General features: G+C 40.7%; 1 protein-coding gene across 4 annotated transcripts in view, besides 1 other annotated feature; it reads right to left on the reverse strand.

The window, feature by feature from the left end:
• Nucleotides 3,677-4,177: an enhancer, noted in NCBI's record as "H3K4me1 hESC enhancer chr4:84210168-84210668 (GRCh37/hg19 assembly coordinates)". NCBI's record gives its function as "activates a minimal SCP1, AML or CMV promoter by ChIP-STARR-seq in naive H9 embryonic stem cells {active_cell/tissue: H9 hESC(naive)}" and the evidence as "EXISTENCE:reporter gene assay evidence [ECO:0000049][PMID:30033119]".
• The window catches only part of HPSE (heparanase), a 42,693-nt gene continuing 32,313 nt past the window's right edge, over nucleotides 7,123-17,502 (reverse strand). For all 4 annotated transcript variants that reach the window (NM_001166498.3, NM_006665.6, NM_001098540.3 and 1 more), the window contains 3 exons: nucleotides 16,812-16,930; nucleotides 15,622-15,768; nucleotides 7,123-10,165 (listed from right to left, as the gene is read on the reverse strand). In NM_001166498.3, coding sequence (NP_001159970.1) covers nucleotides 10,006-10,165; nucleotides 15,622-15,768; nucleotides 16,812-16,930 — 426 coding nt within the window. In that variant the 3' untranslated portion in view covers nucleotides 7,123-10,005. The remainder of the gene's footprint in view (nucleotides 10,166-15,621; nucleotides 15,769-16,811; nucleotides 16,931-17,502) is intronic.

Raw genomic sequence — 17,502 nt, forward strand, 5'->3', positions numbered from 1 at the left:
GATTGCATTTTGAAATGGCCTGGTTGGAAAATTGGCTGTTGTCTCTCTTTCCTGACTTCTCAGAATGTCAGATACAACTTAGTTTTAGTTTGGTGACTTGGAACTTTAGCATGGGTGACTCTTGATTCTTAGTCTGATCTGTTGGGACCTAGTGCAGGAACTTAGTTCAAAACAATGGCCCCCTATAATTTAACCCTATTATCAGCTTTCTCCATAAAATGAAAAGGATAGTGTTTATTCATATGGAACAGTTGTACCAGGAAAAAAAAAAAAAAGCTTTGAAAAACCTACTGAATCCAAAAGAAGAATTTGCGTACACGTTTAGCCATAAAAAAAAAAAAGGGCACCAAGTGGCCACATACAAGACTGTAAATTAAAATCGCATTCAGGGTTAAGGGATGTTCATTACACAAGTGAAAATTTTAAATTTGACAGCCCTTCAAAGGAGTTTTTGTAATCAGTAGACAACCAGCATGTGTGATGCTAAGAACCTGAAGCTGAAAAGTCTGGTCAGCAGAGTCTTGCTCTGTCATCCAGGCTGGAGACCAGTGGAGGGATCATGGCTCACTGCAGCCTCCACCTCTTGGGCTCAATCGATCCTCCCATCTCAGCATTCTAAATATCTGGGACCACAGACACGAGCCACCGTGGCTGGCTAATTTTTAATTTTTCATAGAGAGGAGGTCTCACTATATTGCCCAGGTTGGTCTTGAACAGCTGGGCTAAAGAGATCCTCCTGCCTCAGATGGTCAGTACTCTTATTCATAAGCAACTCTGTATATCGCTGTGTGCCAGGCACTTTACATGTATCAACTCATTTAACCTCTCACTGAGTAACCCTAGGCAAGTCACTCATCTGGATTTTAATATTCTAGGAAGTTGACTTAGTCTTTAGGCTCCTTTCTGTAAAACATGTACAATGATTCTGTGACTTCTTGCATGGCTCAAGTACAGCAAGTTGGATGCCTGGCCACTTTGGTGCAATGAGGCAGGGGGTACCTAGCCTTTCTCCTGCCTGCAAAGAATAAAGGCCAGCAGGCAATTTAGTAACACTCCTAGTTGTTAGATTGGAGATGATTTAGATCTGACTCAAACCTGAAAAGGGTGTAATATCAGTCATGTATTGCATCCATGACTTTCCAATATAGGTCCAAACTCTTTGTTTAAAAAAATATATTAAGAATTTCAAGATGGCAACAGCAGGACATTAAACCAAGTACAAGGTCCTTCTTAGCGTAGGCCCTGGGTGACTGCACATGTACCCATGATGCTGACCCTGCCCAGAGGTGATTCAATCCTAAGATATTTGGTCCAATTAAAGTGCACAGGAAACTGAGATGGGTACCCACATGTCACTCTGCTAATTTGTAGGACAAGAGAACAGTCACATAGAGTAGAGCCCTAACTTTCAGGAGTCTCCTCTAGACTAATGCCAAGGCACAGTATGCCCTTGGGAAAGCCATTTAACTGCTGCAAACTCTTCAGAAAAGGAAGGGACTAGGCTTTCTCTAAAAGGGCCTGTAAGGCTCCGATTCCTCATTTTGTTTTTTGTTTTTTTTGAAGTGACTTTCTTTTTTTTTAAAATTTTATTATTATTATACTTTAAGTTTTAGGGTACATGTACACAACGCCAATTCCTCATTTTGGATTGGGCAGGAACTCATTTTGTTTTAAACCTATTACCCACAGGAACTGAAATGGTTAATTTTACATGTCAATTTGGCTAGGCCATAGTGCCAAAACATTTGGTCAAAAATTATTCTGGCCAGGCACTGTGGCTCACACCTGTGATCCCAACACTTGAGAGACCCAGGTGAGAGAATTGCTTGAGCCCAGGAACTCAGGACCAGTCTAGGCAACATAGTGAGACCTCATCTCTACTAAAAATTCAAAAATTAGCTGAGAATAATGGCATATGCCTGTGGTCTCAGCTACTTGGGAGGCTGAAGTGGGAGGATTGCTTGAGCCCCCGAGGTTGAGGCTTTGTGAGCCATGGTCATGCCACTGCACTCCAGCCTGGGTGACAGAGTGAGACCCTGTCTCAAAAAAACAAATAATAAACCTCTCATCTTTTTTATGGTGGCCAGAAGAATGAATTACAATGACTGACAAGGCTTTGGAAACAAGACAACCCCTCCCCACATCACAAGGACTGAAAAAGGTAATCAAATAGATTTTGCAGTATGTTCGAAGGTGGTAAGTGGTATGGAGAAAAGAAGAGTAACAGGGAAAAGTAGGGACAGGCTGTATGTATACTTAAATATGGTAATTGGGGTGGTAGGACAGCCCTGATCTCACTTTCTCAAAGACTTGAAGGAGATAAGGGAGTAGCTATGAGAGATCTGAGGGAAGAATATCACTAGATACTCTTAGAGGGATGTCTAGTGCAAGGGCCCTAAGATGGGAGCAAGCTTGAAGTGTTTTCTTAATAAGAGCAAGGAGGCCAGTGTGGATAGAGTAGAGTGAGCAAAAGGGAGAGAGATCAGGGATGAGAGCAGAGAGGACTAGGGACCAGGTTGTGTGGGGTCTTACATACCGTGGTAAGGACTTTGGCTTTTCTCTAAGTGAAATAAGAGGGAGCCATTGGAGGATTGTGAACAGAACAGAGACATGACCTGACTTCTATTTTATTTTATTTTCCTCTCATAGTTCTTGTCTCATACTGACTTATATTTTAAATAATTACTCTCAATACTGGGTTGAGAGTAAACTGTAGGCAAGCAGTGAGATAAGTAGGGATATTAGTTAAGAGGCTTATGAAGCTCAGGTTGGTAGCTTACACTTGTCATCTCAACATTTTGGGAAGCTGAGGCAGGATTGCTTGAGCCCAGGAGTTCAAGACCAGTCTGTGCAACAAAGTGAGACCTCATCGCTACAAAAATCTTTAAAAAAATTAGCTGGGCTTGGTGGTGCACTCCTTTAGTCCCAGCTGCTCAGGAGGCTGAGGTAGGAGGATCACTTGAGCCCGAGCGGTCAAGGTTGCAGTGCACACCACTGCATTCTGGCCTAGGTGACAGAGCAAGACCCTGTCTCAAAAAAACTAGACAAGTAAACCATTATTCTGGTTGTTTCTATGAAGGTGTGATATGGTTTGGCTGTGTCCCCATCCAAATCTCATTTTGAATTGTAGCCTCCATAAATTCCCATCTGTCATGGGAGGGACCCAGTGGGAGGTAATTGAATCATGGGGACAGGTCTTTCCCATGCTGTTCTTAAGATAGTGAACAAGTCTCACAAGATCTGATGGTTTTATAAAGGGGAGTTCCCCTACACAAGTTCTCTTGCCTGCTGCCACGTTAAGATGTGCCTTTGCTCCTCCTTCAACTTCATGATTGTGATGCCTCCCCAGCCATGTGGAACTGTAAGTCACTTAAATCTCTTTCCTTTATAAGTTACTCAGTCTCAGGTATGTCTTTATTAGCAGCATCAGAACAGACTAATACAGTAAATTGGTACTGGTATAGTGGGGTGCTGATGTAAAGATACCCGAAAATGTGAAAGCAACTTTGGAACTGGATAACAGACAGTTTGGAGGGCTCAGAAGGCAGGAAGATGTGGGAAAGTTTGGAACTTCCTAGAGATTTGTTGAATGGCTTTGACCAAAATGCTGACAGTGATATGGACAGTAAAGTCCAGGCTGAGGTAGTCTCAGATGGAGATGAGGAACTTGGGAACTAGAGCAAAGGTGACTCTTGCTATATTTTAGCAAAAAGACTGGTGGCATTTTGCCTCTGCCCTAGAGATTTGTGAAACTTTGAACTTGAAAGAGATGATTTAGGGAATCTGGCAGAAGAAATTTGTAAGCAACAAAGCATTCCAGAGGTAACTTGGGTACTGTTAAAAGCATTTAGTTTTATGTATTCACAAAGATATGGTTTGGAATTGGAACTTGTGTTCAAAAGGGAAGCACAACATAAAAGTTCAGAAAATTTGCAGCCTGATGATACGATAGAAAGGAAAAACCCATTTTCTGAGGAGAAATTCAAGGGGGCTGCAGAAATTTGCATAAGTAATGAGGAGCCAAATGTGAATCACCAAGACAATGGGGAAAATGTCTCAGGGCATGTCAGAGGTCTTCATGGCAGCCCCTCCCATCACAAGCCAGGAGGCCTAGGAAGGAAAAATGGTTTTGTGGGCCAGGCCCAGGGCCTTGCTGCTTTGTGCAGTCTTGGGACTTGGTGTCCTGCATCCCAGCTGTGGCAAAAAGAGGCCAACGTACAGCTCAACCCATTGCATCAGAGGGTGCGAGCCCCAAACCTTGGTGGCTTACATGTGTTGTTGTGCCTGAGGGCGCACAGAAGTCAAGAAGTGATGTTTGGGGACCTCTGCCTAGATTTCAGAGGTTGTATGGAAATGCCTGGATGTCCAGGCAAAGGTCTGCTACAGGGGCAGAGCCCTCATAAGAGAACTTCTGCTAGGGCAATGCAGAAGGGAAATGTGTGGTGTGGACCCCCACACAGAGTCCCCACTGGGGCACTGCATAGTGGAGCTGTGAGAAGAGAGCCACCATCCTTCAGACCCCAGAATGGTAGATACACTGACAGCTTGCATTGCACACCTGGAAAAGCTTTAGTCAGTTAATGCCAGCTCATGAAAGCAGTCAGGAGAGGGGCTGCACCCTGCAAAGCCACAGGCTGGGGCTGCCCAAGACCATGGGAACCCACCTTTTGCATCAGTGTGACCTGGATGTAAGACATGGAGTCAAAGGAGATCATTTTGGAGCTTTAAGATTTGGCTGCCCTGCTGGATTTCAGATTTGTATGGGACCTGTAGCCCCTTCGTTTTGGCCAATTTCTTTCATTTGGAACAGGTGTGTTTATCCAATGCCTGTACCTCCATTGTATCTAGGAAGTAACTAATTTGCTTTTGATTTTATAGGCTCATAGGGGGAAGGGACTTACCTTGTCTCAGATGAGACTTTGGACTGTGGACTTTTGAGTTAATGCTGAAATGAGTTAACACTTTGGAGGACTGTGGGAAGGTATGATTGATTTTGAAATGTGAGGACATGAGATTTGGGAGGGGCCAAGGGCGGAATGATACTGTTTTTCTGTGTCCCCACCCAAATCTCATCTTGAACTGTAGCTCCCATAATTCCCATGTGTTGTGGGAGGGACCCAGTGGGAGGTAATTGAATAATGGGGGTGGGTCTTTCCTGTGTTGTTCTCATGATAGTGAATACGTCTCATGAGAACTGATGGTTTTATAAAGGGGAGTTCCCCAGCACAAGCTCTCTTGCCTGCCACCATGTAAGATGTGCCTTTGCTCCTCCTTCAACTTCTGCCATGATTGTGAGGCCTCTCAAGCCATGTGGAATTGTAAGTTAATTAAAGCTCTTTCCTTTATAAATTACCCAGTCTGAAGTATGTCTTTATTAGCTGCATGAGGGCAGACTAATACAGGGTGTTTTAGGATGAAATTAACATTTAAATTGGCGGATTTTGAGTAAAGCAGATTGCCCTCCATAATGTGGGTGGGCTTCATCCAATCTGCTGAAGGCCTGAATAGAACAAAAGACTGACCTACCTCAGGCAAGAAGGAATTCTCCCAGCAAATGGCCTTTGGACTTGGACTTCAACTGCAACATCGGTCCTTTCCTGGGTCTCCAGCCTGCCAGCTAGCCTACCCTGCAGATTTTGGATTCAGCAGCCTCCATAATTGCTTGAACTAATTCCTTAAAATAAATCAGCTGGGCGCAGTGACTCACACCTGTAATCCCAGCACTTTGGGAGGCTGAGGTGGGCGGATCACCAGGTCAGGAGATTGAGACCATCCTGGCTAACATGGTGAAACCCCATCTCTACTAAAAATACAAAAAAATTAGCCGGGCTTGGTGGCGGACGCCTGTAGTCCCAGCTACTGGGGAGGCTGAGGCAGGAGAATGGTGTGAACCCGGGAGGCAGAGCTTGCAGTGAGCCGAGATTACGCCACTGCACTCCAGCCTGGGTGACAGAGCAAGACTCTGTCTCCAAAAAAAAAAAAAAAAAAACTCTTTATATCTTTATATATATCCTATTGGTACTGTTTCTCTTCTCTAGAGAACGCTAATGCAGAAATGTTGCACCTAGTGGATGGAGAATAAATTCATTCATCCCACAAATATTTGTTTAAATGGTGCGTCAACCAGAACATTCATTCCACTTTACATGTACCCTTCATTTTAGCAGATTTACATGTTTGAAGCACTTCTACATTCATATTTTTCGTCTCTACTATGTTTCATCTGATTTTTGTGGTTGGCCCTAGAGAAGGTGTTTTAGGTTTAAACAATATTTATTGGTCAGGTGTGGTGGCTTATGCCTGTAATCCCAATACTATGGGAGGCTGAGGCAGGCAGATCACTTGAGCCATGGAGTTCAAGACCAGCCTGAGCAACATATCAAAACACTGTCTTTACAAAAAATACAAAAATGCATGGTGGCATGCACTTGTAGTCCCAGCTACTAGGGAGGCTGAGGTGGGTTGAGCCCAGGAGGCCTAGGCTGCAGTGAGCCATGAGCATGCCATACCACTGCACTCCAGACTGGGTGACAGAGTGAGACCCTTTCTCAAAAAAAGAGAGAATAGAAAAGAAAATATTTATCGTTTGACTCCCAAATGAGACGTTAAAGTGACTTTCAAGCTTAACAAATACAATCATTAACTATAATTGCTTCCGGCCTTAAAATAATTTTATGTGAAACTGGTGTTCTTTGTAGAAATTGTAATTGACAATAATGTGACTATAAAATGATAGCTGATGAGAAATAAGAGAATAATAAGAGACAAATTTTGGGAGGCATCCCCTACAATTCTTGGTAGTGCTGGTGGAACTGAACGCTCATTGCCCACAGCAGCAAACTCAACAGCAAAAATTAATATTGGTTTTTTCTTCACTTCCCTCTCACACTCCCTGTTCTTTCATTCCTTATTCCCAAATAACCCACCTGACCCAAGTCCTTGTCTCAGACTGTGCATTGGAAAACCCCCACTTCTGATCCTGATAGTATAACAAGGGGTGAAACAACACACTAGTGGTTCTATATCCTGTTTCCAGGTATAAACAAAGCAGTGAAGGAAAACAAGGCTTCCAAATGTAGGAGTCTGTAGGCTTTACATTACTAAAAGAATAGTCATACAATATCAAGATTATAAAAATTACTTTATTTCAAATGTGAAAATATAAAAACCACTTACATATAAAATTTAAGAGTATTGAAAGATCTAAAATTTAATTTTCAGCTTTAGCTCCTTACAAATATACTTAAATTGAATGAAATTGAATGGAATTAACCTAAGTGTCCATCAACTGATAAGTGGATAAAGAAAATGTGGTATATATGTACCATGGACTATTACTCAGCCATAAAGAAGAATAATGTATTTTGCAGCAACTTGGACGGAACTGGGGGCTGTTATCCTAAGGGAAGTAACTCAGGAATGGAAAACCAAATACTGCATGTTCTCACTTATAAGTGGAAGCTTAGCTGTAGGTACACAAGAACATACACAGTGGTATAAGGGATGTTGGAGACTCAGAAGGGAAGAGGGCGGAAGGAGGGTAATGGATGAAAAATTACCTATTGGGTACAATGTACATCACTCAGGTGACAAGTACATTAAAAGCCGAGTCTTCACCACTACACAATTCACCCCTGTAAGCAAAAAGTGTGTACCCCTAAAGCTATTAAAATAAAAAATTTTAAAGATACTATATCCATAACAGGCATACATTTGAAGAATATTAATCCTTAAGAGGGGAAAATAATTACATTTTTTCACTGGTAAAAAGCGCAGAACTGCAGTGTTCAGTTTGTAGACTGACCAACACCCTCTCCATTCCAAAGGGTTACTCAGAGACAATTATAGGAACCTCGTTGTTGTTGGCAGTGACTGGTGAAATGGCCACATTACCCATTTCTGAACAATAAGACATGAGGAGACATGAGGAGAGGTTTGCTGTGAGAAGCTCTGAAAAAGAGTTATTCAAGTCTATGAAGGAGACTCAAAAAATGGCTCATTTTCTTCCTCTGGTTGCTATGAGGTTTGAAGGGGCCCATGAAACAGCTACAGCCATCATGCTACCAGAGTCTGAGAATGAAGCCAGCGCTAAAGATGGCAGAGCAGAGAGCTGGGAAGAACCCAGATCCCTGGTGACGTACTGAAGTGCTGGAGCCTGGCCTGTTTGAACGTCTAGTTATGTGGGAATATACATTTCCTTATTGCTTAAGCCATTTGAATTAGGAGTTTCTGTTACTTGCAGCCAAAAGCTTCCCAACTGAAACAAGGAAGAAAGGTAGAGAAAAAGCAAGCATTAACAGACAGTTATAAGGTATTGGGTGTTTTCTAAAATTTATCCTCTTGACAAATCAATTTCATTTATAGTAATTTTAAGTTTACAGAATCTCCTCGCCTCTGAATTGTCATTAACCATTTTTTATACTATCATATCTAACAATCTGTCCTCTCACATATTATTGCTGACAAAGAAAACCGAAAGAAGAAAATCAGCAAAATCTAGCTGTCTTTTAAGGTGCAAATAGATAGTTTCTCTTTTACAACCAGTTTCACGGTAACGGCAGTATGCTTTTTCTGATGGGTGCCTGTAGAGATGGCACATGAAGGAAAGAATTCTAAAATCTTCTAATACATTTTGAAAGATAAATATACAGCTAAGCACCTTCTTAAAACTCATAATATATCCTTCGCTTCCTTGCTTCCTGACCATATTAGGAGCATTCATATACATTTTTAATAACTTGTTTTTTTGAGATGGAATCTCTCTCTGTCACCCAGGCTGGAGTGCAGTGGCACAATCTCGGCTCACTGCAACCTCTGCCTCCTGGGTTCAAGTAATTCTCCTGCCCCAGCCTCCCAAGTAGCTGGGACTACAGGACCACACCCAGCTAATTTTTGTATTTTTTAGTAGAGATGGGGTTTCACCATGTTGGCCAGGCTGGTATCAAATTCCTCACGTCAGGTGATCCATCTGCCTCGGCCTCCCAAAGTGCTAGGATTACAGGTGTGAGCCACTGCGCCCAGCCATTTTTAATAACTTTAAATAAAGACTGGTTGTGGTGGCTAATCGCTGTCCCCACAGGTATTATAGTCTTTCGCTGACTAGCAACACTGCACAGAGGTAACATCAAATGATCTCCTGCTGTACCATGCTGTACTCCCAAAGAAATCCCAGCACCTGGAAGGCCAAGGTGGGAGGATCAATTGAGTCCAGGAGTTCAGGACCAGTTTGGGTAACATAGCGAGACCCCATCTCTACAAAAAATTTTTTAAAAATAGCCAAGTGTGATGGCATGTGTCTGTGGTCCTAGCTACTTGGGAGGCTAAGCAGGAGGATGACTTGAGCCCAGGAGTTAAAAGGCTGCAGTGATCTATGATTGCACCACTGCACTCAAGCCTGGGCAACAGAATGATACCCTGTCTCAAAAATAAAACACTGCTGGGTGTGGTGGCTCACACCTGTAATCCCAGCACTTTGAGAGGCTGAGGCGGGTGGATCACTTGAGGACAGGAGTTCGAGGACAGGAGTTCGAGACCAGCTTGGCCAATATGGCGAAACTCCATCTCTACAAAAAATATAGAAAGTAGCTGGGCGTGGTGGCACACGCCTATAATCCCAGCTACTCAGGAAGCTGAGGCAGGAGAATTGCTTAAAGTTGCAGTGAGCCAAGATCGCACCATGGCACTCCAGCCTGGGTGACAGAGAGAGATTCTGTCTCAAAATAAATAAATAAATAAATAATAAAACAAAACAAAACTTTAGATAAAAGTAAAACATGCAAAATGCTAAGCAGTATTTGGAACAAGGTATTATTAGCTATTATTATTAGCAGTGTTCTACCTAGCGAGATCAAAATACTGTGCTAAATCTAGCACTGACAGTGTCCCAGTGTCTCTCAAGCACCCACTAGTTGCTTTGCAAGGTATCTGCTTCCTTTCCTATAACTTGAGTTGCTTTACTCTTAGTATACTTGAAAAATTCAGTGTCAGGACTAGTATATTTTATTTTCAGATGCAAGCAGCAACTTTGGCATTTCTTATCACAAAAAAACTATATGAGAAAGCTGGCAAGCCCAGTGAACTTCCTGGCCGGAGAGGTTTTTCCATTAAAGGTGGCAAGGTTTGATCATCCACCATCTTTAGAGTTAGACCATTGAGTTGGACAGATCTGCAAAGGAGAAAGATACACCGAGTTAACCAAGTGGTGCATGCCCCACCCATGCTGCTACAAAAGTCATGAAATCTTTTTTAGACCAAATAAATTTTTTTTTGTGGCAGCCTATATTATATAACTTGTATTTCAACACTATATCACTTAGGCATTTGACCTAGATAATCTTTAAGCTACAATGGCAGGGATGAGTAGTTATGATAGAGACCATATGGACTCCAAAGCCAGAAATACTTACTGTCTGGCCCATTACAGAAAATGGAACACACACAATCTATATACTAGGCAATATGATGGTGGTATAAAAAGGATAAACATGACACAACTTCTGGAATGGTGGCTATTTTATTTAATGGCCAATAATTGAAACCTTTTTTATGTAAAGAAAATAGATATATAGAATTGAATGCAGTTTTTATGAATTTAGCATAAATGGTAGCCAATGAAATTTCTCACTTGTAACTATGCCCATAAACTGCCTAACTCCCCTCTCCCTGCAGGAGGTATGCATTCATTTTCTTACTGTTATTAAGAAATTTTGGTAGAATGCTGTGGTGAAACAAAAACAATTTGGCTAAACTACAGAAAATTTTATATTTTCTATGTATTTCACTATTGGAATTCAAATTAAAAACTGTTGAACGTTCTTAAAAATTAAGGAAAAGTGTTATTTCTTATACATACTTATTATTTAAATCAAATTAATGCATATTCACAGGAGCGAATCAATATAGGCAAGAGCTTATGAAGAAAAGCTTTAGTCGGCTGTAGGTCTATTGATATTTTCATAATTCTAAATAAGATGCTTATATCTCTTTTTCTCAAATATGTTTTATATTGTCAACAAAGTTAGCACTCTTTAAATATTGAAAACTTGTAAGATTAGGCCGAGCACAGTGGTTCACACCTGTAATCCCAGCACTTTGGGAGGCTGAGGCAGGCAGATCACTTGAGGCCAGGAGTTCAAGATCAGCCTGGCCAACATGGCAAAACTCCATCTCTACCCAAAAATACAAAAATTAGCCGGGCATGGTGGTGTGTGCCTGTAGTCCCAGCTACTCAGGAGGCTGAGACATGAGAATCGTTTGAACCTGGGAGGCGGAGGTTGCAGTGAGCCGAGATTGCACCACTGCACTCCAGCCTGGTAGAGCAAGATTCTGTCTAAAAAAAGAAAAAAAAAAAAAAGAAAAGAGAACGTATAAGATTAGTTACTGTCAGAGTTATATTTATATCATTTAGGTAATACATGTAAAGTATGTAGAACACTTATAACAGTGTCTTTTATATAGTAAACACTATAAAAGTATTATCTATCATCATTATTATTACTAAGATAAATAAAAGTAACCTAAGTCATTATAACCATTTTAAATATTTTGATGTATATTCATTCTTTCATCTATTTTTTGTGTACATGTATACAGTCATATGCCACATAAGGATGTTTTGGTCCACCATGGACCGCATATATAAGTGTGGTTCCATAAAATGATAAAATTATAATTCCTATTGCCTAGCAATGTCATAGTCATTGTAACATTGTAGCACAACACATTAGTTTTCTATGTTTTAGATATGTTTAGATACACAACTACTTAACACAATGATAGCTTGCCATTGTGTTAAGTATTTGTATATTCGCTACAGTAACATGCTTTACAGGTTTGTAGCCTAGGAGCAACAGGCTAGTCATATAGCCTAGATACATAGTAGGCTAGACCATCTAGGTTTGTGTAAGTTCACTCTATGATGTTCACACAAGGATGAAATCACCTATCGACACATTTCTCGGAATGTATCCCCATCATTAAGCAACACATGACTGTACATACCTTTTTTTTTTTTTTTACTTAAGTATGGGTATACTGTATTTTCTTAAAACTTGATTCTTCCCCCCACCCCAGCACATCCTAACTTTTTCTCACACCATTAAACATCCATCCACTACATAATTTTAATGTCTGCACAAGATTCCATGGTGTGAGTATATTAGTTTATTTACTTAATTCTCTAATGTTAGATATTTTTCCATGTAGCATTATTATATATTTGTTTTCCTTAAAGAAATCTCTCACACCCTGTCCTCATTAAGCATCAGTGAGCAGAAAAACTGGTTTACATTTTGACCTAATGAGACGCTCAGCCCTGTGTTCTGTAACTTAAGACATATCAATAGCACGCCCATGATTGTAGCAGAGGTTAGCATGCCTGCATTGCAGTTGTACTCAGTCTATATGAGTTGGTTTTGTTTAAAAGCCTGTATCACCTCAATTTTTAGATGGAGTGAAGGGGGAAATGCCATGACCATCATCAGGAAACCACAAACAAAAATAGGTCTTGAAAATATCTCCAGCTAACAGTGGTAAGAGCCTGTTCTGCATGAAATTAAGAAACTTGCAAGAGTACACACAAAAGTTTTAGATATGCTTTTGGAGAGGATATTTTGCTACAAAGTTTAAAGGTAAATCTGATCACTGTGAATTAATCCTGCTGGAGATAAGATGAGGTACATGGGCAAGATATTATACCATCAGGCTATATTGCTTAATCAGCTGTATATTTATCTAAAAGATGCTACACATATATCAAGGGTAAGCTTAATGTATGCTGATTATTTTCACATCAGGCTGGGCAATGAGGGTGGGGTTTAATTTGGGTATAGTGTTTTATTTTATATTCTGAAGTCAATAACATGACGACAAAGAAATAGAAGATGTTTGTCAAATTTCAGATGAAATGAAGCTGGAAGGAATTAGCAAGCAACAGATTCGGCGGAAATGGGGATGCTGGGCAAAATGTATGAGATAAATATAAAATACGGCCTTTATGTTAAAAATATGTTCACTCAGCCCAGATGAGGTGGGTCATGCCTGTAATCCCAGCACTTTGGGCGGCTAAGGCAGCAGGATTGCGTGAGTCCAGGAGTTCAAGACCAGCTTGGGCAATATAGTGAGACCTTGTCTCTATTTTTTTTTAAAAAAAAACAGATGTTCATTTAAATATTTATTAAAGTCTTACTATGCAGGACCCTAATAATTTTTAGGGCTGGGTGCAGTTTTTCATGCCTGTAATCCCAGCACTTTGGGAGGCTGAGGAAGATCACTTGAGCTTAGGAGTTTGAGACCAGCCTGGGCAACATAATGAGACATCGTCTCTACAAAAAGTTAAAAAATTAGCCAGGTGTGGTAGCATAAGCCTGTGGTCTCAGCTACTCAGAAGGCTGAGGAGGAAGGATCACTTGAGCCCAGGTAGCGGTGGCTGCAGTGAGCTGTGACCGCACCACTACTCTCCAGCCTGGGAGACAGAATGAGACCCCCGCCTCAAAAATAATGATAATGATAGTAATAATTTTTAAAGGTGACTGTTGTTTAACTCTCCGAGGTCATTAATATGAGTAAGCGTACAGACTGTGCACTCAAAAACTTATCTAGGATACTATTTTGCAAAATTTTAAAGACAGAAGAGTGTAAGTAATATATACTCATCAAAGAGAATTTAGGGGAACAAAACATTGTCTATAATTTCACCAGTTTTCCAATTATAAAACATGAAATGTGTGATCAGAATGTAATAGGGGCAGGGCACGGTGGCTCACTCGTGTAATCCTAGCACTTTGGGAGGCTAAGGCAGGTGGATCACTTGAGGTCAGGAGTTCAAGACCAGCCTGGCCCACATGGTGAAACCTCATCTCTACTAAAAATACAAAAATTAGCCAGGCGTGGTGATGCATGCCTCTAATCCCAGCTACTAGGGAGGCTGAGGTGGGAGAATTGCTTGAACCCAGGAGGCGGAGGTTGCAGTGAGCCTAGATCATGCCACTGCACTCTAGCCTGGACAACAGAGTGAGACTCTGTCTCAAAAAAAAAAAAAAAAAAAAAAAAAAGAAGAAAGAGAAAATGTCTACAGAGGCTATGTTGGAAAGGCTCTTGGGAAGACTTCTGGATCTCTCCCCTGACCCTGCCTTTTTCCTATTACATGTTATATGATTATAGTTATAGTAAAATAAAGCATAGAGGGGAAAAAATAAAAGAGCAGTACCCAGTGTAAATAATGTTTGTCTGTGGGGGACAGGACTTTGGAGAAAGCGTGCTTACTGTACTGCCTCAGGTTCCGAGGCTAATAGTCCTGGAACACATCACTTATGTGGCATTTGCAAAGATGGGAGGAGATGGTGAGAATTTTGTAAACTCTTAATTTTTATTTATTTATTTTTTTGAGACAGGGTCTCACTCTGTCACCCAGGCTGGGTGACAGAGGCACCATCACAGCTCACTGCAGCCATGACCCCCCTGGGCTCAAGCAATCCTCCCACCTCAGCTTCCCAAGTAGCTGGGACTACAGGCATGCACCACCACGCCTGGCTAATTTTGGTATATTTTGTAGAGAGAGTTTTGCCATATTGCCCAGGCTGGTCTCAAACTCCTGGGCTGAAGTGATCTGCCTGCTTCAGCTTCCCAAAGTGTTGGGATTACAGGCATGAGCCACTGCGCCAAGCCTGTAAACTCTTTTTATGCTCCAATATGAGAATAGTCATGAGAAAGGAACTCCTTCCAACATACATTGAACAGAAACCTTAAAATATTTATATGCCTAACTCTTCAAGACTCATAGTCATTTTTTGGCACTCCATTGAATACAGGCTTTTATAAGATGTAGTCAATAATTGGTTTTTGAAACCAAAGTGTATGAGAATCTACTTAAGAAGTATACTCTAGCTATTCTTTTTCTTACTCTAACCAATAAAAATTAATGCTGTAAAAGAATCACACTGATCTCACATGGTATGATATTTTATACCAACCCACATACCTTTGATAGCAATTATATAAAGGTATATTTTGCTTTAGTGAATGTGTTACCAAGAATTATGTCTTTTTAGAGTAAATAATTTAAATGCGTTGAGTGGATCTTGATATGTCAAGTTATTTTGAAATGCAAACTTATTCTCTAAGATAACTGCTAGTTTGTGTTCACATCCTTTTGCTTTAGACTCTTAGGGTGAGTTATACTCATATTAGTAAGTATTCATACATAAATTTCCTGAATATTAAGAATTATTACACTTTGGGAGGACGAGGCGGGCAGATCACGAGGTCAGGAGATCGAGACCCATCCGGGCTAAAACGGTGAAACCCCGTCTCTACTAAAAATACAAAAAATTAGCCGGGCGTAGTGGCGGGCGCCTGTAGTCCCAGCTACTTGGGAGGCTGAGGCAGGAGAATGGCGTGAACCCGGGAGGCGGAGCTTGCAGTGAGCCGAGATCCCGCCACTGCACTCCAGCCTGGGCGACAGAGCGAGACTCCGTCTCAAAAAAAAAAAAAAAAAAAAAAAAAAAAGAATTATTAGAACTTGATATAGTTGACTTTGTCTTTTGCTCCCTGTCCAAACTCTCTATTCTGATAAACACCAATAAATTTATTGAAAGTTTGGAATGAACAAGGAAAATTACTTACTTGGAAAGTAATCCATGAGGTCCCAAAGGTCTTAGAAGGTATTTATCCACTTGCTTGTTAGAAAAAGGATAGGGTAACCGCAAGTACTTGGTGACATTATGGAGGTTTATGGCATACAGAGTTAAATCTCCTTCTTTATACCTTGGACTAAAAGCAAAGAGGTTAACTTAATAGAAATATGTATCTAATTTAAGCAATTAAAAACTCAATTACAAATGTGATCCTAAGTATTAGTATCCATAATGACAATCCATAATGCATCCTAAGTATTAGGATCCATAATGACAGTGGGCCCTCTTAGTATCCTTCTTTTATGATCGTTTTAGACCGCTAGTGTGCTCCTATTTTGAAAACACAATTAAAAATGTTGCCGTTCATGCTACCAATGTCTGGGCTAGAGCACACTGAGATCCTCACAGCTCTGCCAGCTGGGTTGTTAAGAGGCCAGCCAGACTATCCATTTTCAGACATAGGAAGGTAAAAGGCAAATTTTGTGGGTTCATGTGAATTCAAATTATAAACCATAAAAACAGGGGCTTTTCCTAGCCTTATAAAAAGACTGAAATGTATAAGAAAATTAAATCTACTGACATTTTTTATGAATTTATCCATTCAAACCATTCCCCTCGCTACTTCCTACTGGGGTCCTCACTATCCAGAGTTCCCAGTCACCAACAATCGGAAATGGTAGCTGGTCTTTTTTGGCTAGAATTAGTATTTCAGCATCATCTTATCAGGAATGATAGATTGAAACCTATCTAGAGAATATTCCTGAGATTTAGGAACATTTTTTGCTACCTAAAGCAAGAGTATGAGGCTACAAAAATCTCGATGTCTTCTCAACTCCAGAAACTGCGGTCACAACTTTTGAAAATAATATTGTTGTTATTATTGTTCTCCTCTTCAAGAATCACTTGAACCCGGGAGGCGGAGGTTGCAGTGAGCTGAGATTGCACCACTGCACTCCAGCCTGGGTGACGAGCGAGGCCCCGTCTCAAAAAACAACAACAACAAAAGTAGCATTTTTCTTCTAAAAATAAAATAAAATAAAATCGTTGTATAAAACTTTACTAAATTGCAACTGCCTATACTTATGCAATGTATAGACACATGCAACAGGGTGTTTGAGTAAAGTTACAGGCTTACCCACTAAAACTTGATGATTGGTAAAGGGTGTGTTTCATACTTACTTGTCAGTGTTTGTGCAATGAAGGTATACTCGAAGCTTCCTTCTCTTTGAACCTTGCACGCTTGCCATTAACACCTTGGTGCCCACCAATTTCTTGAACAGAAGAGATAGCCAATAATCCTAGTTGTGGTGGTTGGGGAGAAAGAGACAAAAATAGATGTTTACTTATGTCCTTATTTAATGAAACCAGTGGCAAGCAAATAGTTATCCTACAAAGAGTATCACTGTTATCCTGGGGGCATTTAAATAGGATTCATCTTTTTTTTTTTTTTCCCCTCACATGTGACCACCATGAATCTGAGAGCAGTATCGTGCTTGCTGCTTTTTATCACTGGAGGACACAATTCAAAAGGCCATAGCCTGTAGGGGATATCTGTCAAGAATGATCAGAGTTTAAGTATTCTTGGTTATCGTTCATCCAAGAATTCAAAGCAAAGCTCAAAGCCAAACTTTTAGACACACACACATACACAAACACATGTACACACAAAGACAAATTTTTAAAGTAAAACTTCTGTCTGTTTAGAGACAAATAATTTCATTTAGGCCAGGCACGGTGGCCAAAGTGTAATCCCAGGATTTTGGGAAGCTGAAGTGGGTAGATCACTTGAACCCAGGAGTTCAAGACCAGTCTGGGAAACATGATGAAACCCCTTCTGTACACAAAATACAAAAAATTAGCCAGGTGTGGT

This window comes from Homo sapiens, chromosome 4 (assembly GCF_000001405.40).
Source record: "Homo sapiens chromosome 4, GRCh38.p14 Primary Assembly".
Lineage (NCBI taxonomy): Eukaryota > Metazoa > Chordata > Mammalia > Primates > Hominidae > Homo > Homo sapiens.